Source organism: Homo sapiens, chromosome 12 (genome assembly GCF_000001405.40).
Source record: "Homo sapiens chromosome 12, GRCh38.p14 Primary Assembly".
Taxonomy (NCBI): Eukaryota; Metazoa; Chordata; class Mammalia; order Primates; family Hominidae; genus Homo; species Homo sapiens.
The window spans coordinates 49149566-49174590 of NC_000012.12; the positions used below are offsets into that span (position 1 = coordinate 49149566).

The 25025-nt window shown below is 44.8% G+C and overlaps 2 annotated features.

Annotated features, from left to right (window-relative positions):
* Nucleotides 20695-20888: a silencer, noted in NCBI's record as "fragment chr12:49564043-49564236 (GRCh37/hg19 assembly coordinates)". NCBI's record gives its function as "represses an EF-1alpha promoter that drives an FKBP-Casp9 reporter gene in an ReSE screen in K562 erythroleukemia cells {active_cell/tissue: K562}" and the evidence as "EXISTENCE:reporter gene assay evidence [ECO:0000049][PMID:32094911]".
* Nucleotides 23859-24064: a silencer, noted in NCBI's record as "fragment chr12:49567207-49567412 (GRCh37/hg19 assembly coordinates)". NCBI's record gives its function as "represses an EF-1alpha promoter that drives an FKBP-Casp9 reporter gene in an ReSE screen in K562 erythroleukemia cells {active_cell/tissue: K562}" and the evidence as "EXISTENCE:reporter gene assay evidence [ECO:0000049][PMID:32094911]".

Here is a 25025-nt window from a genome sequence, read left to right on the forward strand (position 1 = left end):
CGCAATCTTGGCTCACCGCAACCTCCGCCTCCCTGGTTCAAGGATTATCCTGCCTCAGCCTCCCAAGTAGCTGGGATTACAGGTGTGAGCCACTGTGTCTGGCCCACTTTACTGAACTTCACAGATGATGAGAGTTTTCTCTTTCTTTTTTTTTTTTAAAACGTATTGAAGGTTTATGGCAACCCTGCATCAAGCAAGTCTGTTAGCACCATTTTTCCAACAGCATTTGCTCACTTCATGTCTCTGTGTCACATTTTGGTAATTTTCATAATATATAAAAATTTTTCATTACAGGCTGGGTGTAGTGGCTCACACCTGTAATCCTAGCACTTTGGGAGGCCAAGGCAGGCGGATCTCCTGAAGTCAGGAGCTCAAGACCAGCCTAGCCAACATGGCGAAACCCCATCTCTACCAAAAATACAAAATTAGCTGGGTGTGGTGACACACGCCTGTAATCCCAGCTACTTGGGAGTCTGAGGCAGGAGAATCGCTTGAACCCAGAAGGCGGAGGTTGTGGTGAGCCGAGATCGTGCCATTGCACTCCAGCCTGGGAGACAAAGCGACATCTCAAAAAAAAAAAAAAAAAAAAGCTTTTTTATTATTATTGTATTTGTTATGGTGATCTGTGATTAGTAATCTTTGATGTTACTATTGTAATGGTTTTGGAGTGCCACAAACATAAGATCACGTGACAGTGACCTTAATATATAAATGTGTGTGTTGTGATTGTTCTACTGACCAGCCATTTCCTGTCTCCCTCTTCTTATGCCTCCCTGTTAAATTAGACACAACAACATTGAAATCAGACCAATTAATAACCCTACAGTGGTCTCTGAGAGAGGCTAACAGCTAATCCTCTTGTGCTAAACAGCCAAATTGTGAATGCAAAGGAAAAGTTCTCAAAGGAAATTAAAAGTGCTACTCCAGTGAACACATGAATGATAAGAAAGTGAAACAGTCCGGGCGTGGTGGGTCACGCCTGTAATCCCAGCACTTTGGGAGGCTGAGGTGGGTGGATCACCTGAGGTCAGGAGCTCAAGACCAGCCTAGCCAACATAGTGAAACCCTGTCTCTACTAAAAATACAAAAATTAGCTGAGTGTGGTGGTGCACACTTGTAATCCCAGACACTCGGGAAGCTAAGGCAAGAGAATCACTTGAACCCCAGAGGTGAACATTGCAGTGAGCTGAGATTGTGCCACTGCACTCCAGCCTGGGTAACAGAGAGAGACTCTGTCTCAAAAAAAAAAAAAAAAAAAAAGTGAAACAGCCTTATTGATGCTGATAGGGAGAAAGTTTTAGTAGTCTGGATAGAAGATCAAACCAGCCACAACATTCTCTTAAGCCAAAGCCTAATCCAGAGCAGGACCTCAGTTATCTTCAATTCTGAGAAGGCTGAGAGAGGTGAGGAAACTACAGAAGAAAAGTTTGAAGCTAGCAGAGGTTGGCTCGTGAAGTTTAAGGAAAGAAGCTGTCTCCATAACATAAAAGTGCAAAGCGAAGCAATAAGTGCTGATGTAGAAGCTGCAGCAAGTGATCCAGAAGATCTAGCTAAGATCATTGATGAAGATGGCTATACTAAACAACACATTTTTGGCCAGGCACTGTGCCTCATGTCTAATCCCAGCACTTTGGGAGGCTGAGGTGAGAGCATTGCTTGAGGCCAGCCTGAGCAACATAGCAAGGCAATTTTTTAATCTCTACAAAAATAAAAAAATTAGCCAGGTGTGATGGCATGCTCCTGTAGTCCTAGCTACCTGGCAGGCTGAGGTGAGTGGCTTCCTGAGCCCAGGGTTTTGAGGCTGCAGTGAGCTATGATCATGCTACTGCATTCCAGCCTGGGCAACAGAACAAGACCCTGTCTCCAAAAGAAAGCAAATCAACAAAAAATGAGCAATAAAAAAAGATTTTCGATGTAGACAAAACAACCTCACATTGAAAGAAGATGTCATCTGTGACTTTCATAGCTGGAAGGGACAAGTCAGTGCCTACCTTCAAAGAACAGCCTGAATCTGTCAGGGGCTAATGCAGCAGGTGATTTTAAGTTGAAGCCAATGCTCGTTTACCATTCCAAAAATCCCAGGGCCCTAAAGTATCATGGTAAGTCTACTCTGCCCATGCTCTATAAATGGAATAACGACACCTGGATGACAGCATACCTATTTACAACATTGTTTACTGAGTATTTTCAGCCTGTTGTTGAGATGTACTTTTCAGAAATAAAGATTCTTTCAAAATGTTACTGCTCATTGACAATGCACCTGGTCACCCAGGAGTTCTGATGACATGTACGGGGAGGGAGATTAATGTTACTTTCGTGACTGCTAACAGCATCCATTCTGTAGCCCGTGGATCTAAGAGTCATTTTTACTTTTTTTTTTTTTTTTTTTTTTTTTGAGACAGAGTCTTGCTCTGCCTTCCAGGCTGGAGTGCAATGGTGCGATCTCGGCTCATTGCAACCTCCGTCTCCCGGGTTCAAGCAATTCTTCTGCCTCAGCCTCCCAAGTAGCTGGGATTACAGGCACTGGCTAATTTTTTGTATTTTTAGCAGAGATGGGGTTTCGCTATGTTGGCCAGCCTGGTCTCAAACTCCTGACCTTAGGTGATCCACCCGCCTCGGCCTCCCAAAGTGCTGGGATTACAGGCGTGAGCCACCACACTCACATGGTGGTTTCTTGAGATGGAATGTACTCGGTGAAGATGCTTGAACATTATTGAAATGACAACAAAGGATTTTAAATATTTCATAAACTTAGTTGATAAAGCAACAACAGGGTTTGAGAGGATTGACTCCAATTTTGAAAGAAGTTCTACTGTGGGTAAAATGCTATCAAACAGCATCACATGCTACAGAGAAATCTTTCATGAAAGGAAGTCAATCACTGCAGCAGACATCACTGTTGTCTTTAAGAAACTGCAGGCCAGGTGCAGTGGCTCACGCCTGTAATCCTAGCACTTTGGGAGGCCAAGGCGGGTGGATCATCTGAGGTCAGGAGTTCGAGACCAGCCTGGCCAACATGGTGAAACCCTGTGTCTACTAAATACAAAAAATTAGCCAGGTGTGGTAGCACATGCCTGTAATCCCAGCTACTTGGGAGGCTGAGGCAGAAGAATCGCTTGAACCTGGGAGGCAGAGGCTGCAGTGAGCTGAGATTGCACCATTGCACTCTAGCCTGGGCAACAAGAGTGAAATTCCATCTCAAAAAAAAAAAAAAGAAAGAAAGAAAAGAAAAGAAGTTGTGGCCGGGTACAGTGGCTTACACCTGTAATCCCAGCACTTTCAGCTACTTGGGAGGCTGAGGCAGGAGAATCGCTTGAACCTGGGAGGCGGAGATTGCAGTGAGCGGAGATCACACCATTACACTCCAGCCTGGGCGACAAGAGCGAGACTCTATTGCAAAAAAAAAAGAAAAAGAAAAAAGAAATTGCTCCAGCCACCTTAACCTTCAGCAATCACTACCCTGATCAGTCAGCAGCCATTAACATCAAGGCAATATCCTCCACCAGCAAAAAGATTATAACTAGTTGAAGGCTCAGATGATCATTAGCATTTTTCAGCAATGAAGTTTTTTTTGTTGTTTGTTTGTTTTGTTGTTTGTCTTGCTTTGTCATCCAGGCTGGAGTGTAGTGGGCAACAGGGCAAGACTCCATCCCAAAAAAAAAGATGTGTCTAGTGTGAATAAGAATTTGAATATTTTACTTTATTAGATTGTAATTAATTTACAATTAAATAATACAAATATATACAAAATTAGCCGGGTATGGTGGTACATGCCTGTAGTCCCAGCTACTTGGGAGGCTGAGGTGGGGGAACCACTTGAACCCAGGAGGTGGAGGTTGCAGTGAGCCGAGATCATGTCGCTGCACTCCAGCCTGGCAACAGAGTGAGACTCCATCTCAAAAAAAAAAAAAAAAAATTAGCCACATGTATATAGTAACTACCATGTTGCACAGATACTCAGGTCTTCTATACAAAGAAGAAAGGAAGGCTCAGTTGTCCTTGGATAAAATGAGAACTGGTGAAAAGGCACTTTGAAAGTAATGAAAACAGCTGGACACAGTGGCTCATGCCTGTAATCCCAGCACTTTGGGAAGCTGAGGCAGGAGGATCACTTGAGCCCATGAGGTCAAGTCTGCAGTGAGCCAAGATCGGGTCACTGTACCCCAACCTGGGTGTCAGAGCGAGACCTTGTCTCAAAAAAAAAAAAAAAGTAATGAAGACAAAGTGTCAATAATAACTAAAGATGATTAAGGAGAAGGGTTTTTTGTTTGTTTTTTGAGCCAGAGTCTCGCTCTGTCACCCAGGCTGTAGTGCAATGGTGAGATCTTGGCTCACTGCAACCTCCACCTCCCGGGTTCAAGCGATTTTCCTGCCTCAGCCTTCCATGTTGCCAGGACTACAGGCATGCACCACCATGCCTGGCTAATTTTTGTATTTTTTAGTAGAGATGGGGTTTCGCCACGTTGGCCAGGCTGGTCTCAAACTCCTGATCTCAGGTGATCCAGCTGCCTCAGCCTCCCAAAGTGCTGGGATTATAGGCATGAGCCACTGCACCTGGCCCTCTCTACTTTTTTATATTTAATACTTTTCTTCCCCCTCTATCCCTCCCTTCCTGCCATCCTTTCTTTCTTTTTGTTTCTTTCCTTTCTCTCCCCACCACCCACCCCACTCTCTCTCTCTCTTTCTTCTCTTTTAATACAGGGTCTCCCTCTGTCCCCCAGGCTAGAGTGCAGTGGTGTGACCATAGCTCACTGTAGCCTCGATCTCCTGCACTCAAGCGATCCTCCTGAGCAGCTGGGGCTACAAATGTGCATCACCATGCCCTAATTACTATTATTATTGTTATTTTTGTAGAGCTAGGGGTCTTGCTGTGTTGTCCAGGCTGGTCACAAATTCCTGGCCTCAGGCTACTGCCTTGGTCTCCCACGGTGCTGGAATTACAGGCATAAGGCATTGTGCCTGGCCAAGAGTTTTTTAAAATCTATTTGCATTACTTTTATAATTAGAATTAATGTTTAAAAAGTCAATCTAAAGTAAAATGGTGAATTAAGACTCATATAAGATATAGGAGTATTCATTTTTGCCCTTTGCTCACTGGTTTTTATTTTTAAACACCTTTATGGAGATTTAATTCAGATTCCGTAAAATTTACCCTTTTAGGCTGGACGCGATGGCTCACACCTGTAATCCCAGCACTTTGGGAAGCCGAGGTGGGCAGATCACAAGGTCAGGAGTTTGAAACCAGCCTGGCCAACATGGTGAAACCCCATCTCTACTAAAAATACAAAAATTAGCTGGGTTTGGTGGCACATACCTGTAATCCCAGCTACTCAGGAGGTTGAGGCAGGAGAATTGCTTGAACCCAGGAGACAGAGGTTGCAGTGAGCCGCGATTGCACCACTGTACTCCAGCCTGAGTGACAGAGCAAGACTTCACCTCGGGAAAGAAAAAGAAAATTTACACCTTTAAAGTGTACAGTTCAGTGGTTTTTTTTTTTTTTTTTTTAATTTTTTTCTGTAACCCAGGACAGTGCCAAAGTTCAGTGGTTTTTTTGTTTTTTCTTTGTTTGTTTATTTGAGACAGAAACTCGCTCTTGTTGCCCAGGCTGGAGTGCAATGGCGCAGTCTTGGCTCACAGCAACCTCCACCTCCCGGATTCAAGAGAATCTCCTGCCTCAGCCTCCAAGTAGCTGGGATTACAGGCATGTGCCACCATGCCCAGCTAATTTTTGTATTTTTAGTAGAGATGGGGTTTCACCATGTTGGCCAGGCTGGTCTCAAACTCTTGACCTCACGTAATCCTCCCACCTCGGCCTCCCAAAGTGCTGGGTTTACAAGCGTGAGCCACCGTGCCCAGCCAAGTTCGTGATTTTTAACACATTTATAGAGTTGTGCTACCATCATCACACTCTAATTCCAGAACATTTTTTATCATCCCTAAAGAAACTCATTGCCCAGGCTGGAGTGCAATGGAGTGATCTTGGCTTATTGCAACCTCTGCTTCCCAGTTCAAGCGATTATCATACCTCAGCCTCCTGAGTAGTTGGGACTATAGATGCGTGCCACCATGCCCAGCTAATTTTTGTATTTTTAGTAGAGATGGCGTTTCCGCATGTTGGCCAGGCTGGTCTCGAACTCCTGGCCTCAAGTTATCTGCCCGCCTCAGCCTCCCAAAGTGCTGGGATTACAGGTGTGAGCCATCATGCCCAACCCTGAGATGGCTTCTGAGGGGCTTGATATGGAGGGAGAGGGCCTAAGTAGCTTCAGAATGAAAAGAACAAGCCAGGATTAGAGGGTTAGAACTTTCAGCCCCATCCCCCAAGACCTCAGGGAAGGGAGTGGTGACTGGAGATTGAGTTTGATCACCAAAAGGTCAAGCCTTAATTATGCTTATGTGGTGAAAACTCCGGCCAGGCACGGTGGCTCACGCCTGTAGTCCCAGCACTTTGGGAGGCCAAGACAACGGATCACCTGAGGTCAGGAGTTCGAGACCAGCCTGGCCAACGTGGTGAAACCCCATCTCTACTAAAAATACAAAAATTAGCCGGGTGTGGTGGCAGGCGCCTGTAATCCCAGCTAGTTGGGAGGCTGAGGCAGGAGAATCGCTTGAACCCGGGAAGCAGAGGTTGCAGTGAGCTGAGATCTTGTCCCCCAGACTGGGGGACAAGAGTGAGACTTCGCTCAAAAAAAAAGAGAAAAGAAAACTCCATGAAACCCCCTAAATAATAGGGTATGGAAAGCTTCATAGTTGGTGAAAAAATTGGTGTTAGGAGGGTGCCAACCAGGAGAAGGCATGGAAACTCTATATCTTCCTCCACCTTCTACCCCCACCCAGGGCATACTTTTCTCGGTGCATCTCTTCCACTTAGCTGTTCCTGAGTTGTATCCTTTACGATGCATTGCTAAATGTAAGTAAAGTGTTTTCCTATATTCTGTGAATTATTCTAACGAATTATTAAACCTGAGGGAGATTGGCGGGTATTCTCGAATTTACAACTGTTCGGTGGCAAACCTGGCACTTAAAATGGGAGCAATTTTAGGGAACTGAGCCAAGAGAATTGAATTTAATTGTTTGACACCCAATTCCTGTTAGAGAATTGGAGAATTGGTGTTTGGTGTCAGAAAAAAACCTTACAGAATAGTTATGTATGGTATAGTACAACCTTGACATAATTAACTTCATCTTAGAAAAAGACTCCATTTTATATTTATTTATTTATTTTTATTTTTATTTATTTATATTTTTTGAGACAGAGTCTCGCTCTGTCGCCCAGGCTGAAGTGCAATGGCGTGATCTCAGCTCACTGCAACCTCCACCTCTCAGGTTCAAGCAGTTCTCCTGCCTTAGCCTCTTGAGTAGCTGGGATTACAGCATGCCACCATGCCTGGCTAATTTTTGTATTTTTAGTAGAGATGGGGTTTCACCATGTTGATCAGGCGGTTTCAAACTCCTGACCTTGTGATCTGCCCGCCTGGACCTCCCAAGGTCCTGGGATTACAGGCATGAGCCACTGTACCTGGCCATTTATTTTTATTTATTTTTTTGAGATGGAGTTTCACTCTTGTCACCCAGGCTGGAGTGCAATAGTGTGATCTTGGCTCACTGCAATCTCCACCTCCTGGGTTCAAGCAATTCTCCTGTCTTAGCCTGTTGAGTAGCTGGGATTACAGCGCACCACCATGCCTGGCTAATTTTTGTATTTTTAGTAGAGATGGGGTTTCACCATGTTGGTCAGGCTGGTCTCAAACTGCTGACCTCGTGATCTGCCTACCTCGGCCTCCCAAAGGCCTGGGATTACAGGCGTGAGCCACTGCACCTGGCCATTTTTTTTTTTTTTTTTTTTTTTTTGAGACAGAGTTTCACTCTTGTCACCCAGGCTGGAGTGCAATGGCGCGATCTCGGCTCTCTGCAACCTCCGCCTCCCGGGTTCAAGCAATTCTCCTGCCTCAGCCTCCTGAGTAGCTGGGATTATAGGTGCCCGCCACGACGGCTGGCTAATTTTTTTTTTTTTTTTTTGTATTTTTAGTAGAGATGGGGTTTCACCATGTTGGCCTGGCTGGTCTCAAACTCCTGACCTCAGGTGATCCACCTGCCTCAGCCTCCCAAAATGCTGGGATTATAGGCATGAGCCACCGCGCCCAGTCTCCATTTTATATTTCATAGGGAACTTTGTCAACAAGTATAAGATGCTTTGCTTAATAAACAAAGTTTTTTAAAAGATGCATCCAACCAGTTAAGGACACAAGCATGCTCTTCCACTATCAGTTCTCACTAGAGGATTCTGTGACTATAAAAGATGAGGCCAGCCGGGCGCGGTGGCTCACGCCTGTAATCCCAGCACTTTGGGAGGCCAAGGCGGGCGGATCACCTGAGGTCAGTAGTTTGAGACCAGCCTGGCCAACATGGTGAAACCCTGTCTCTACTAAAAATACAAAAAATTAGGCGGGCGTGGTGGCAAGTGCCTGTAATCCCAGCTACTCGGGAAGCTGAGGCAGGAGAATCGCTTGAACCAGGGAGGCAGAGGTTGCAGTGAGCTGAGATTGCACCACTGCACTCCAGCCTGGCAACAGAGCGAGACTCCGTCTCAAAAAAAAAAAAAAAAAATGAGGCCAGCTGGGTGCGGTGGCTCACGCCTGTAATCCCAGCACTTTGGGAGGCCAAGGCGGGCGGACCACCTGAGGTTAGGAGTTCAAGACCAGCCTGGCCAACATGGTGAAACCCTGTCTCTACTCAAAATCCAAAAAATTAGCCAGGCGTGGTGGCGGGCGCCAGTAATCCCAGCAACTTGGGAGGCTGAGGCAGAAGAATCGCTTGAACCCGGGAGGCAGAGGTTGCAGTGAGCCGAGATTGCGCCATTGCACTCCAACCTGGGCAACAAGAGCAAAACTCCGTCTCAAAAAAAAAAGATGAGGCCTTCAGCAGCTCAAAATGGTCATCTTAACTGACACCGTCTTGCAGTCAGTCACTCGTGATAAGAACTTGCCATCTGCCTCCGAAGGCTCTGCCACATCAAAGACTCTTCCTCGCAAGACTGGCAGACCAACTGGCCCAAAACAGAACTCCTTTTCTTCTTTGTTCTGCCTGGACTGGTTCTTTAACCCTTTCTCCTATCTCTTTCTCCTCTTGATGTTAAATGTTACTTTGTCATGGAATGTTTAACTTGTAACATTTATATATTGATTAATTATACTATTATGTATGGTTTACAATATTGACTGGCTTGCGTGCCCACAGCTCTGACTACTGAGTGAACAGGAAGTACTGTTAGCTGTGGAAGGTATACAGATCATCAGCAGTAAATCCATACAGGCCTGAAGCAACCTCAATTCTTGCCTCCTCAGAAGAAAGAATTCCACTGAGGGGCATAAGGCAGAAGGAGAAACCGAGGCAAGTTTTAAAGCAGGAGTAAAAGTTTATTAAAAAGCTTTACACCAGGAACAAAAGGAAGGAAAGAACACTTGGAAGAGACCCAAGTGGGCAACTTGAAGGAGAAGTGCCCCATTTCACCTTGGACCTAGGATTATTTATTTATTTATTTAATGAGACAGGGTCTCACTCTGTCGCTCAGACTGGACTGCAGTGGAGTGATCTCAGCTCACTGCAACCTCTGCCTCCCAGGCTCCAGCGATTCTCCTGCCTCAGCGTCGCGAGTAGCTGGGATTACAGGGCGCACACTACTACCACCCAGCTAATTTTTGTATTTTTATTTTATTTATTTATTTATTTTTGAGACAGAGTCTCGCTCTGTTGCCCAGGCTGGAGTGCAATGGCACGATCTTGGCTCACTGCAAGCTCTGCCTCTGGGGTTCATGCCATTCTCCTGCCTCAGCCTCCCAAGTAGCTGGGAGTACAGGCACCCGCCACCACCCTTGGCTAATTTTTTTTTGTATTTTTAGTAGAGATGAGGTTTCACCGTGTTAGCCAGGATGGTCTTGATCTCCTGACCTCATGATCCGCCTGCCTCGGCCTTGCAAAGTGCTGGGATTACAGGTGTGAGCCACTGTGCTCTGGCTCATTTTTGTATTTTTTTTTTTTTGAGATGGAGTCTCGCTCTGTTGCCCAGGCTGGAGTGCAGTGGCGCGATCTTGGCTCACTGCAAGCTCCGTCTCCCGGGTTCACACCATTCTCCTGCCTCAGCCTCCTGAGTAGCTGGGACTACAGGCACCTGCCACCACGCCTGGCTAATTTTTTGTATTTTTAGTAGAGACCGGGTTTCACCATGTTAACCAGGATGGTCTCCATCTCCTGACCTCGTGATCCGCCCACCTCAGCCTCCCAAAGTGTTAGGATTACAGGCGTGAGCCACCGTGCCCAGCCCTAATTTTTGTATTTTTAATAGAGACAGGGCTTCACCATATTGGCCGGGCTGGTCTTGAACTCCTGACCTCAAATGATCCACCCTCCTTGGCCTCCCAAAGTGCTGGGATTATAGGCATGAGCCACTGGGCCCGGTCCAGACCTTGGATTTCATATGCTGGTCTACTTCTAGTATTTTGTGCCCCTTTCCCTTCATTCTTGCCTTAGGGTGAGCTGCCCACATGCACAGTGGCCTACTAACGCCTGGCAGGTGAGCATGCGCAGTGTGTTTACTGGAGTTGTAAACATATTCACCTGAGGTTTTCTTCCCTTTTCTGGTGGAATGCCCTGGAAGGTCATATGCCTCCATTTTGCCTCTTAATGTGCATGCTCGAGCCCACTCGCCCAGTTCCTTAGATCTTACGGAAGCTGCTGATTACCAATTTCAGGTGTTTATCTGTTGGGAAACTGCCTCTCCCTGGTACTGGCTGTGACCAATTATTTTAGATAGGTAGTGTGACAACTGCCTGACCATTGGTCACCTGACATTCCTGGTGGGTGCAGGGAGCCCTCTCCTGCCCTGCTCTTGCCTGTCTAACTACCTACTGTAACAGTACTAAGGAGATTGCCCCCTTGGGAACTCCGTGTAGCTCCTGGCTTTTGTGATTGCAATAGCATCAGTAAAAGCCTGACACTGTGGAAAGACACAAACATGCAAGGACCTGCTTATCTCTAACCTTGCACCACTCACTGAGGCAGGAGAATAGGGACTAGAGGCAGGGAACCTAAGGACTTCCTAGAACTAAATCAAATGAAAATGAAAACACTTCAGCTATGACAAAAAATATCCTCCTCATTTACATAGGGCGTACACCAAGTAACCAGTGGGAACCTCTAGAGGGGATGTAAACCCCAGAAAATTCTTTTTTCTTCCTTTCTTTCTTTTTTTTTTTTTTTTTTTGAGACAGAGTCTCACTCTGACACCCAGGCTGGAGTGCAATGGTGCGATCTCAGTTCACTGCACCCTCCGCCTCCTGGGTTCAAGAGATTCTCCTGCCTCAGCCTCCTGAGTAGCCGGGGTTACAGGCACCCACCACGGGCCATGCCTGGCTAATTTTTGTATTTTTTAGTAGAGACAGGGTTTCTCTGTGTTGGTGAGGCTGGCCTTGAATTCCCAACCTCAGGTGATCTGCCCACCTTGGCCTCCCAAAGTGCTGGGATTACAGGCATGAGCCACCACACCCTAAACCCAGGAAAATTCTGTAACTGAGCCCTTGAGCCCCTATGTTTGGCCTGCTCCCACCCTGTGGAGTGTACTTTCATTTTCAACAAATCTCTGCTTTTGTTGCTTCATTCTTTCCTTACTTTGTACATTTTGTCCAAATCTTTGTTTAAGACACCAGGGACCTGGACACCCTCCACTGGTAACATCATGACATGTATGCAAAAATTGTCCGCAAAATTTACATATAAACGATTAGAATTTAAGAATTCCCAAAACCCCCTTTAGACAGGGTTTCACCACGTTGGCAAGGCTGGTCTTGAACTCCTGACCTCAGGTGATCCGTCCACCTTGGCTTCCCAAAGTGCTGGGATTACAGGTGTGAGCCACCATACCTGGCAGGGAACTTCATTATTTAAAGGAGAAAGAGCAAGCAGGAGGGGGAAAACGGGAGGTAGGGTAGGTAGTGAGGCGAATTGTTACATTCTTGTGAGGCTCTGATTAGCCTCAGTAAATTGACATTTTACATGTGAAAAGGGGAAGTAGAGGAAATGAGGCTATGGTACAGGATTGTGAAATTACAGCTATCTGGTAACAAAAGGAATGCAGTAATTCAGCTCTCAAGCTTAATGTCCCTTTGGCATAGTGAGTTTGGGGTCCCAAGATTCTATTTTCTTTCACACTAACACCAACAACAATAACAACAAAAGAACAAGACATCTGCAAGAAAATAGTATCTTTATTGAGAGATATTATGAAGATATTATGATTAATGTACTGAGAGATATATCACGTATTATTTGGAGGTATCAGATTACAAAGATGCTAATTCTACTTAAATTGCCCTATAAATTAAGTGCACTGGGAAGGTGGAGTAGACATACTTCCTAAATTCCTCCCACTAAATACAACTAAAAACCCTGGACATTATATATAAAACAAACATAAGAAGACTGAAAGAAAAGCCGGGCGTGATGGTTCATGCCTGTAATCCCAGCACTTTGAAAGGCTGAGGCAGGTGGATCTCTTGAGGTCAGTAGTTAAAGACTAGCCTGGCCAATATGGTGAAACCCCATCTCTACTAAAAATACAAAATTAGCCATACATGGTGGCGTGTGCCTGTAATTCCAGCTACTCAGGAGGCTGAGGCAGAATTGCTTGAACCCAGGAGGTGGAGGTTGCAGTGAGCCAAGATCGCACCACTACACTCCAGCCTGGGCAAAAGAGTGAGACTCTGTCTCAAAAAGAAAAAAAAAAAAAGACTGAAAGATGGAGAGAAGGCAGCAGACAAGCTAGGGATCTTGGGGGTCCAAGGAACAACATAGTGATGAGTTTCCTGGGTTTTCTTCCTACCTTACATCTCGAAGCCTTGGAACTGAAGAAGCTGACAATCCAAAAATGCCGAAGGGTGAGACAAAAAACGAAAACCTTCTCTCACTAGCCAAAGAACCAGGAAAGGGAAAATCTAGCAAGACAGCAAACTTTATATAACAACTCCTGTACTCCAGCCAAGTGCTACAGAAAGAACTGTGACCCTACCCCTACCTGTATCACCAAGACTGAGTGGGGAGCCTAGACTTCCACCCTTGCTAGGCTGTAACAAGGTGCTCCAAAGGATAGTCTTTTCTACAAATGGTGCTGGGACAACTGGATATTCACATGCAAAGGAATGTAGTTGGACTCTGCTGTGTGAATAGTGTCACCCTATCCAACATTCAGTGTCCACTTACAACCTCAGAATGTGGCCCTCTTTAGAAATAGAATCTTTGCAAATGTAGTTAGTTAAGATGGGGAATTACTGGATTAGAGTGGGCCCTAAATCTAATGACTGTCCTTATAAGAAGGCCATGTGAAGACACAGAAACATAGTGAGAATGCCCGGTAGCAACACAGGCAGAAATTGTAGTGGTGTCTACAAGGTAAGTAAGGAATGCCAAGGATTGTCAGCACCAGCAGAAGCTAGAAGAGAGGCATGGGACAGATTCTCCCTCAGAGCCTCTGGTAGGAACCAAACTTGCCAACGCCTTGATTTCAAACTTCTAGCCTACAGAACTATGAGGCAATACATTTCTTTTGTTTTAAGCCACTCAGTTTGTGGTTTAAAAGCAGCTCTGAGAAATTAATACAGACTCCTACCTCACACCATACACAAAAATTAAAATGGATCAAAGACCTAAATATAAGAGCTAAAACTATAAAACTCAGAAGAAGAAAACAGAGATAAATCTTTATTACTTTTGATTAGGTAATGCTTTCTTAGATATGACACCAAAAGCACAAGCAACAAAAGAAAAAAAATGGTAAGTCAGACTTTTTTTTTTGAGACGGCGTTTAGCTCTTGTTGCCCAGGCTGGAGTGCAGTGTTGCGATCTTGGCTCACTGCAACCTTCACCTCCTGCGTTCAAGCAGTTCTCCTGCCTCAGCCTCCCCAGTAGCTGAGATTACAGGTGTGCCACCGTGCCCAGCTAATTTTTTTTTTTTTTTCTTGAAACGCAGTCTCGCTTTTTCGCCCAGGCTGGAGTGCAATGATGTGATCGCGGCTCACTGCAACCTCTGCCTCCCGGGTTCAAGTAATTCTCCTGCCTCAGCCTCCTGAGTAGCTGGGATTACAGGTGGCCACCACCATGCCACAAGGCCCAGCCTAACTTTTTATTTATTTTACTGTTCTTTTTCTTACCTCTTAAATGAGTATTAGTTCTTTTTTATGTATATTTTTTCCTATTCATTGTCAATATTCAATATAAACTTAATTCTTTAATGTCTAGCCTTTCCATATTCCTTTTTTTTTTTTTTTTTTTGAGTTGGAGTTTCGCTCTGTTGCCCAGGCTGGAGCGCAGTGGCGTGATCTCAGTTCACTGCAAGCTCCGCCTCCCGGGTTCACGCCATTCTCCTGCCTCAGCCTCCCAAGTAGCTGGGACTACAGGTGCCCGCCACCACGCCTTGCTAATTTTGTTTTTGTATTTTCAGTACAGATGGAGTTTCACCTTGTTAGCCAAGATGGTCTCGATCTCCTGACCTTATGATCCCCCTGCCACAGCCTCCCAAAGTGCTGGGATTACAGGCGTGAGCCACCACGCCCAGCCAGCCTTTCCGTATTCTACTTTTTTATTTGTTTGTTTTTTAGAGACACTGTCTCAATCTGTGGCCCAGGCTGGATTGCAATGGGGCAAACAAAGCTCACTACAGCCTCAAATTCCTGGGTTCAAGTGATCCTCTCACCTGAGCCTCCTCAGTACCTGGGACTACAAGTGTGTGCCACCACACCAAGCGAATTAGTTTTTGTAGAGTTAGAGTCTCCCTATGTTGCCCAGGCTGGTCTCTAACTCCTGCACTCAACTGATCATCCTCCCTCTGCCTCCCTAAGTGCTGGGATTATAGATGTGAGCCACCTTGCCCAGTCTGTGAGGTTTAGTTGGAGCCTCAACTTTTTGATGAGGCAGGCCTCTTATTATATTTATAACTTGGGGTGGGCCCTGGACTTTACCTAGCACCTAGGCTGGGCGTGGTGGCTCACATCTGTCATCCCAGCACCTTAGGAGGCCGAGGCAGGAGGATCGCTTAAACCCAAGAGTTCGAGACCAGCCTGGGCATCAAAACGAGAACCTGTCTTTACAAAAAAAAATTTTTAAATTAGCCAGTCATGATGGTGCTCAGCTACTTGGGAGGTTGAGGCAGAAGGGTCACTTTAACACAGGAGGTCAAGTCTGTAGTAAGCTGTGATCGTGCCACTGCACTCCAGCCTGGGTGAAAGAGTGAGACCCTGTCTCAAAATAAATAAACAAACAAACAAATAAAATACTCCAGCACCTATAAGGTTGTAGAGAAAATGGCATTAGTGTTCCACTCCCTTCTGGTTTAAAGGTTCCTTACTATCTTGTCACCTTTTTAATGCTTTTAAGAAAATTATTTTATCTAGCAATTTTAATTTTTATTGGAAGGCATATCAAGATATCTGGCCCACCATATTATTCAAAACCCAGAATTCTGTCATTTTTTAAAAACAGATGATGGTAAGCATCAAGTTACTGTGTGTTTAGATTACATTAGATGTAACAGAATGGTGTAAGTTTTACTGTAAAACATCAATATTTACAACATGCTTCTTTTGGGGGACGGGGGAGATAGGGTCTTGCTCTGTTGCCCAGGCTTAAGTGCAGTAATTCAATCATGGCTCACTTCAGTCTTGACCTTCTGGGCTTAAGCAATCCTCCTACCTCAGTCTCCTGAGTAACTGGGACTACAGATGCATGCCACCATGCCCAGCTAATTTTAAATTTTTTTGTAGATACGGGGTCTTGCTGTGTTGCCCAGGCTGGTCTCAAACTCCTGGGCTCAAGTAATCCTACCACCTTGACCTCACAAAGTGCTGGGATTACAGGTGGGAGCCACCATGCCTGGCCACAATATGCTTAAAATTACATTATTTTACACTACGTATGTATATATCTCCACACATATACATATATGTGTGTGTATATATATATATACACACATATATATCCTGGGCTCAAGAGGTCCTCCCACCTCAGCCTCCTGAGTAGCTGGGAAGACAGGCAAAGCTACTTGTTTTCTTACATTTTGTAGAGATGTAGTCTCAGCTGGTCTTCAACTCCTGGCCTCAAGTGATCCTCCTGCCTCAGCTTTTACCGTATTTAAACTTAACTTGAAGAATTTTAGATATCAACTTAAAAATGACTGGAGTTACATAGTTTAATTTCTTTTTTTTAGGTGATAAGCAAAAATGTAAAGAACACTGATACAGAGAAATGGTCACATAGCCCGGACATGGTGGCTCATGCCTGTAATCCCAGCACTTTGGGAGGCCAAGGCAAGTGAATCACTTGTGGTCAGGAGTTTGAGACCAGCTTGGCCAACATGGTGAAAACCTGTTTCTACTAAAAGTACAAAAATTAGCCAGGCATGGTGGCAGGCACCTACAGGTGCCAGCTACTCAGGAGGCTGAGGCAGGAGAATTGCTTTAACCCGGGAGGCAGAGGCTGCAGTGAGCCGAGGTTGAGCCACTGTACTCCAGCTTGGGCCACAGAGTGAGACTCCATCTAAAAAAAAAAAAAAAAAAAGAGATATGGTCACATAATCCAATTTCATAAGAAAATATGTACACTCAGCTGGGCGCAGTGGCTCACACCTGTAATCCCAGCACTATGGGAGGCCGAGGTGGGTGGATCACGAGGTCAGGAGATCGAGACCATCCTGGCTAACACAGCGAAACCCCGTCTCTATTAAAAATACAAAAAAAATAGCCAGGCGTGTTGGCGGACGCCTGTAGTCCCAACTACTCGGGAGGCTGAGGCAGGAGAATGGCATGAACCCGGAAGGCAGAGCTTGCAGTGAGCCGAGATGGCGCCACTGCACTCCAGCCTGGGCGACAGAGCAAAACTCAATCTCAAAAAAAAAAAAAAGAAAAGATGTACAATCATCTAGTCTCATGACTTTAAATATCTATATACTGGTAGCTCCCAAATTTGTATCTTCTACCCAGGCCTATTTTCTGAAACACATATCCACATGCCTACTCTACATCTCTGATTGGATGCCTAATAGGCATCCTAAATTTATCATGTCCAAAACAGAACTCTTGAATTCTACTCCACTCCAGTCCACACACTCACATACAGACCACTCCTTTCTTCTCCCAGGATTCTCCATCTGAGTAAATGTTACCTTTATTCACCCAGTTGCTTAGCCCAAAGACCTCTGAGTTATCCTTGACTTCTCTCTCTCACTCTCCTGCTCTAATATTTATCATCTAACGCATCAGCAAATCTTGTCAGCTCTACTTAACAAAACATAACCTGAATGTCTGCCATCTTTCTCTCAGACACTAAAATAATCTACTTCTTACTGCTTTCCTTGTTCTATTCTTGCTGTCTCTTTTTAAAAGTGATCCTTTTTTTTTTTTTTTGAGACCGGAGTTTCACTCTTGATGCCCAGGTTGGAGTACAATGGCGTGATCTCCAGCTCACTGCAACCTCTGCCTCCCGGGTTCAAGCGATTCTCCTGCCTCAGCCTCCTGAGTAACTGGGATTACAGGCGCATGCCACCACGCCTGGCTTATTTTTGTATATATTTTTAGTTTTATTTTTTTTTTTTTGAGATGAAGTCTCACTCTGTTGCCCAAGCTGGAGTGCAGTGGCACAGTCTCGGCTCACTGCAACCTATACCTCCCGGGTTCAAGTGATTCTTCTGCCTCAGCCTCCCGAGTAGCTGGGACTACAGGTGCGCACCACCATGCCCAGCTAATTTTTGTATTTTTAGTAGAGACAGGGTTTCACTATGTTGACCAGGCTTGTCTTGAACTCCTGACCTTGTGATCTGCCCACCTCGGCCTCCCAAAGTGCTGGGAATACAGGTGTGAGCCACTGCACCCAGCCTATTTTTGTATTTTTAATAGAGATGAGGTTTCACCATATTGTCCAGACTGGTCTCGAGCTCCTGACCTCAGGTGATCTGCCCGCCTTGGCCTCCCAAAGTGCTGGGATTACAGGCGTGAGCCACCACGCCCAGCCTAGAAGTAAATCTTAATGACGCTAAGTTAGGCAAAGGCTTCTTAGGTATGACACCAAAAGCATAAGTAACAAAAGAAAAAATAGATACATTTGACCTCATCACAATTAAAAACTTCTTTGCTTCAAAAGACACACTATCAAGAAAGTAAAAAGACAACCCACAAAATGAAGAAAATATTTGCAAATCATATATCTGTAGTGTTATATATTGGTTTTCATCTATGGTTCTTGGCTCATAACTTCCATATCCCTCTTTACAGTCTTTTGTTAGAATGTTGGGTGTGTTGAGCCTCAGGGCAGGCATCTGATGTTCTCCTGCCCTCTGTTCATGCTAATCTTCCCCGACCTTTTTTTCTTTCTTTCTTTTTTATTTTAAGATAGGTTCTCACTCTGTCATCCAGGCTGGAGTGCAGTGTTGTGATCTCGGCTCACTGCAACCTCTGGCTCCTGGATTCAAGCAATTCTCCTGCCTTAGCCTCCCGAGTAGCTGGGATTACAGGCACGCGCCACCACGCCTGGCTAATTTTGTATGTGTTTTTTTAATTAGAGATGGGGGTTTCACTGTGTTGGCCAGGCTGGTCTCGAACTCCTGGCCTCAGGTGATCTGCCCACCTCAGTCTCCCAAAGTGTTGGGATTACAGGCGTGAGCCACCAGGTCCAGCCTAATCTTTCCCGACCTTTCTGATTGTAGGTCTTAATACCCTCCCATGAGAGTGTCCCACCCTATAACCTGGGAGAAGGAATGCTGATGTCTTTAAGCTTCTGTAAAAACCCAAGATGACAGGGCTCAGTGAGCTTCCAGACAGCTGAACACATGGAGGTTACTGGAGGGTGGTGCGCCCAGGGAGGGGATGGAAGCTCCACACCCCTTCCCCCATACCTCACCCTACCTATTCTTTTTATCGGTATCCTTTGCAATATCTTTTATAATAAACTGGTGAATGTGTCTCCCTGAGTGTTGTGAGCTGCTCCAGCAAACTAATCGAACCCAAAGAAGGGGTCATGGGAGCGTCAACTTGAAACCAGTCGGTCAGAAGTCCCGGGGGCTGAACTTGTGACTGGTGTGTGTGGGGTTAGAGTCGGGGGCTGGGGCAGTCTTGGGGACTGAACCCTCAACCTGTGGGATCTGACACTATCTCTGAGTGATAATATAGGAACTGAATTAGAGGACACCCAGCTGGTATCTGCTACTTGGTGTGTGGAGAAATCCTCCACACATTTGGTCACAGAAGTTGTCTTCTGTTTGATGATTGTTGTGGTTTGAGAGTAGAGGAAAAACAGTTTGAAGAGAATTTTTCTCTATACATATATAAGATACTTGTATCTAGAACATATAAAGAACTCTTACAACTCAGTAATAAAAAGACGAATAATAAAATTTTAGGCTGGGTGCAGTGGTTCACGTCTGTAATCCTAGCACTTGGGAGGCTGAGGCAGGAGGATCACTTGAGCCCAGGAGTTTGAGGCCATCCTGGGCAACATAGTGAAACTCCATCTCTTTTTTTTTTTTGAGACAGAGTCTCACTCTGTCACCCAGGCTGGAGTGCAGTGGTGCAATCTCAGCTCACTGCAACCTGCAACTTCCCTGTCCTGGGCTCAAGAAATTCTTGTGCCTCAGCCTCCCGAGTAGCTGGGATTACTAGTGCACGCTGCTACACCCAGCTAATTTTTGTATTTTAGTAGAGACTGGAGTTTCACCATATTGGCCAGGCTGGTCTCGAACTCCTGACCTCAGGTGATCTGCCCGCCTCGGGGTCTCAAAATGCTGGGATTACAGACATGAGCCACCACGCCTGGCCAAGACCCCATCTCTATTTAAAAAATAAAATAAAAATTTTAAATGGGCAAAGGCTCTAAATGTAGACTTCTCCAAAGAAGATACCCAAATGGCCAATAAGCACATGAGAAGGTACTCAAGTCTTTAGCCATCAGAAAATGCAAATCAAAACCCCAGTGAGATACCACTTCACACCCACTAGGATGGCTATAATAAAAGAAGACAGAAAATAACAAGTCTTAGTAAGGATGTGGAAAAATTGGACCTTCTTACACTACTAGTAGGAATGTAAATGATATAACCACTTGGGAAAATATCTTGGCAGTTCCATGAAATATTAAACAGATCTATAGTAAGACCCAGCAATTCCACTTCTAGGTGTATACTCAAGAGAAATGAAAATATATGACTGCACAAAAACGTGTACACAAAAGTTAACAGCAGTATTATTCATAATAGCCAAAAAATGTAAACAACCCATCAATTAATAAAGAAAATGTATATCCCTATAATGGAATATTATTTGGCAATAAGAAGAAGTACTGGCCAGGCACAGTGGCTCACACCTGTAATCCTAGCACTTTGGGAGGCGGAGGCAGGTGGATCACGAGGTCAGGAGTTTGAGACCAGCCTGGCCAATATGGTGAAAGGCAGTCTCTACTAAAAATACAAAAGTTAGCCTGGCATGGTGGCGCATGCCTGTAGTCCCAGCTACTCAGGTGGCTGAGGCAGAAGAATTGCTTGAACCCAGGAGGCGGAGGTTGCAGTGAGCCAAGATTCCGCCACTACACTCCAGCCTGGGTGACAGAGCAAGACTCCGTTCCACACCCCGCTCCCCCAGAAAAGAAAGGAAGTACTGATACATTCTACAATATAGATGAACCTTGAAAACATTGTGCTCGGCCTGGCACAGTGGCCCCTGTAATCCTAGCACTATGGGAAGCCGAGGCAGGCAGATCACCTGAGGTCAGGAGTTCTAGACCAGCCTGGCCAATATGGTGAAACTCCATCTCTACGAGAAATACAAAAATTAGCTGGGCATGGTGGCACGTCCCTGTAATCCCAGCTCCTTGGGAGGCTGAGGTTGGAGAATTGCTTGAACCTCAGAGGCAGAGGTTGCAGTGAGCTGAGATCATGCAATTGCACTCCAGCCTTGGTGACAGAGCAAGACTCCATCTCAAAAAAAAAAAAAAAAGAAAACTTTGTGTTAAGATAACGAAGCCCTATATTACATGATTCTATTTGTATAAAATGTCCGGAATAGGCAAATTCATAGGGACAGAAAGTAGATTACTGTGTTTGCCATGAGCTAGTACAAGGAAGGAGATAATGGGGAGTGACTGCTAATGAGTGCACAGTTTGAGCTTTTGATGAATGACAAAATTAAATTCTGGAACTAGTGAACAGACAAATATAAAAATTTAAAAGGACAGATATTGCACAAGCTGGTGAATATACTAGAGACTTTAAAATTATAAAGGGTGAATTTTATGGTGTGTATATTTTATGGCGTGTATATCAATTAATAATACAAAGAGATTGCTATATTCTAAAATTTCATGCCCTGGTGGTGTTCCTCATCACAATTTGGATCATTGAAATGGAAATATTTCCAAAATAGATGTACTTGAATGGATTAGGAAAAGAAGAAAGAAAGAAGCCAGTTATGAATGCCTGCATATTGTATGCTTCCTTCTACATTAAATGTCCAGAATAGGGAAATATGCAGAGACAGAAACTAGATTAGTGGTTGCCTGGAGATAGTGGTTGCCTAGGTTACAGAGTTTTTTTGGGGGGTGATGAAAATGTTCTAAAATTGTGGTGATCACACACCTCTTAATATACTAAAAGCCATTGAATTGTATACTTTTTTAAAACATTTTTTTTTTACTTTTTTATTTTTATTTTTATTTTTTTGAGATGGAGTATCTGTCACCCAGGCTGGAGTGCAGTGGTGTGATCTCAGCTCACTGCAACTTCCACCTCCCGGATTCAAGCGATTCTTCCAACTCAGCCTCCCGAGTAGCTGGGATTATAGGCATGCGCCACCATGCCCTGCTAATTTTTGTATTATTAGTAGAGTTGGGGTTTCACTATGTTGGCCAGGCTGGTCTCAAACTCCTGACCTCAGGTGATCCACCCACCTCGGCCTCCCAAAGTGCTAGGATTACAGGCATGAGCCACCTCGCCTGGCCTTGAATTGTATACTTTAAATGGGTGAATTGGACAGTATGTGAATTATATTTCAACAAACCTGTTATATTAGGAAAAGAAAAATCAAGTGATAAAGTGTGAGGGACTGAGTTAGCCTTCAGGTAGGAAGAGTGACTATTAGCCTATCACTGTGCACTGATTTTAACGGCTCAGGATACTTAAAATAGCTACCCAAAATAGCATCTTTGCTCAGATGGTGCTTGAAATTCTCTTCCTGGAGATTTCTTTAAAAGTTGAATCTTTAGTTTCTAAAAATTCCCTGTTTAAATGCCAGTACTTCAGGGAAAAATAACTTCTTAAGCAATCAGCTCCAATTTTTTTGTTTTTTATCTTTCTCTGTTGCCTAAGCTGGAGTGCAGTAGCACTATCACAGCTCACTGCAGCCTCCACCTCCTGGCTCAACAGATCCTCCCACCTCAGCCTCCTTAGTAGCTGGGGCTACAGGCACATGCCACCACGCCTGGCTAATTTTTGTATTTTTTATAGAGTCAGGGTTTCGCTATGTTGCCCAGGCTGGTCTCAAACTCCTGGCCTCAAGTGATACACCTGCTTTGGCATCCTAAAGTGCTAGGATTCAGGCGCGAGCCACCAAGCCTGGCCAATACTCTTAATATTTGATAAAGATCCTATTAGACATCTCTCTAGGCATATACACATATATAATTTTATGTAAATAGAGATACTATATATTGTAGAAAAACAAGACTTGGCATTATGTTTGGTTATGAATCTTTTAGAGGCACTTCTTTTATTTATTTATAATTTGCAAGCCTGAGAAGAGAAAACTAGATCCAGGATCTGTGATTTTTCTAAGAATTACAGAATCTATGTAATCATATGTACTTATTGGTTAAATTCTCATTATTATTATTATTGTTATTATTATTTTTTGAGACAGAGTTTCACTCTTGTTGCCCAGGCTGGAGTGCAATGGCGCAGTCTTGGCTTATTGCAACCTCCGCCTCCCGGGTTCCAGTGATTCTCCTGCCTCAGACTCCTGAGTAGCTGGGATTACAGGCCTGTGCTACCACGCCTGGCTAATTTTTGTAATTTTAGTAGAGACAGGGTTTCACTATGTTGGCCAGACTGGTCTCTAACTCCTGACCTCAGGTGATCCACCTGCCTCGGCCTCCCAAAGTGCTGAGATTATAGGCGTAAGCCACCGTACCCGGCCATGCGTGATTCACTTCTTATTAGCTACAGCAAAAGTGATGAGATGTCACTTCCGATATTACATTACAAAAAGACTGTGACTTTCATCTTGGCAGCTCTCTCTTGCTGTCTTGCTCACTTGTCCTGAGGGAAGCCATTTGCTGTCTGCTACTCTTTGGAGAGGCCCTTGCGGCAAGGAATTGTGGGAGGTTTCTGACCAACAGGCAAAAAGACCTTAAATATCTGGCCTTCAATATCCTGGACACCCAACACCCAAAGGTGCATTGAGCTGTTGTTTCCTTATATAATCCCTAACATGGGAGCCAGTCAGTCTGCCTACCAGGCCTCTGCCTAGGTCCCTGATGTTTTCCCCTTGTGTTATTTCTTGGATACCTGGCCTGATCTCTTTAAGCTCCTTTCTCTAGGGTTAGCTCCTCTTCGTCTTATTACATTGGACTTTCTTTTAATTTTTATTTTATTCATTTAATTTTTTTTTTGAGACGGATTTTTGTTCTGTTGTCCAGGCTGGAGTGCAGTGGTGCGATCTTGGCTTACTGCAACCTCCGCCTCCCAGGTTCAAGCGATTCTCCTGCCTCAGTCTCCTGAGTAGCTGGGACTACAGGCATGTGCCACAACGCCCAGCTGATATTTTGTATTTTTAGTAGAGACAGGGTTTCACCATGTTAGCCAGGATGGTATCTATCTCCTGACCTTGTGATCTGCCCGCCTTGGCCTCCCAAAGTGCTAGGATTACAGGCGTAAGCCACCCTGCCTGGCCTCATTTAATTTTTTTTAAAGATAGGGTCTCCTCTCTATCACCCAAGATGAAGTGCAATGATGTGATCATGGCTCACTGCAGCCTTGACCACCTAGGCTCAAGTGATCTTCCTGCCTCAGCCTCCTGAGTAGCTGGGACTACAGACATTGGCCACCACACTCAGCTGATTTATTTTTTGTAGAGACAGGGTCTCGCCATGTTGCCCAGGCTTGTCTCAAACTCCTGGCCCAAGTGATACTCCTACCTCAGCCTTCCAAAATGCTGGGATTACAAGTGTGAGCCACTGAGCCCAACTTTATACTGGACCTTTTGATTCATTACTTCTGATGCTGGATTGGAAATGGTGGTATGTTACTGTCATTCTCATTTTCTTTTCTTTTCTTTTTTTCTTTTTTTTTTTTTTTGAGACAGAGTCTTGCTCTGTTGCCCAGGCTGGAATACAGTGGCCAATCATAGCTCACTGCACCTTGATCTCCCAGGCTCAAGAGATCTTCCTGTCTCAGCTTCCTGAGTGTCTGGGACTCCAGGCACTGCCACTGCACACAGCTAATTAAATTTTTCTTTTTTCTTTTTTCTTTTTTTTAAGAGAGACTGGGTCGTGTTATGTTGTGCAGGCTGGTCTCAAACTCCTGGCCTCAAGCGATACTCCTGCCTCAGCCTCCCAAAATGTTGATATTACAGGCATGTGCTACTGTCCACGGCAAGTGTCATTTTCTTTCTACAGCTGTTTCCTACCTCCTTACTCCATTTACTAGATGGAAGCCTGCCCTATGTCTCAGGGTTTTTTTGTTTTTGTTTTTTGTGGTTTTTTTTGAGACAGGGTCTTGCTCTGTCGTCTAGGCTGGAGTGCAGTGATATGATCACAGCTCACTGCAGCCTTGCACTCCTGAGCTCAAGGGATCCTCCTGCCTTGGCCACCTAAGTAGCTAGGACTACAGGGCTGCGCCACCACGCCCAGCTAATTAAAAAAAATTGTTTTGACTGGGCACATTGGCTCACGCTTGTAATACCAGCACTTTGGGAGGCCAAGGCAGGTGAATCACTTGAGGCCAGGAGTTC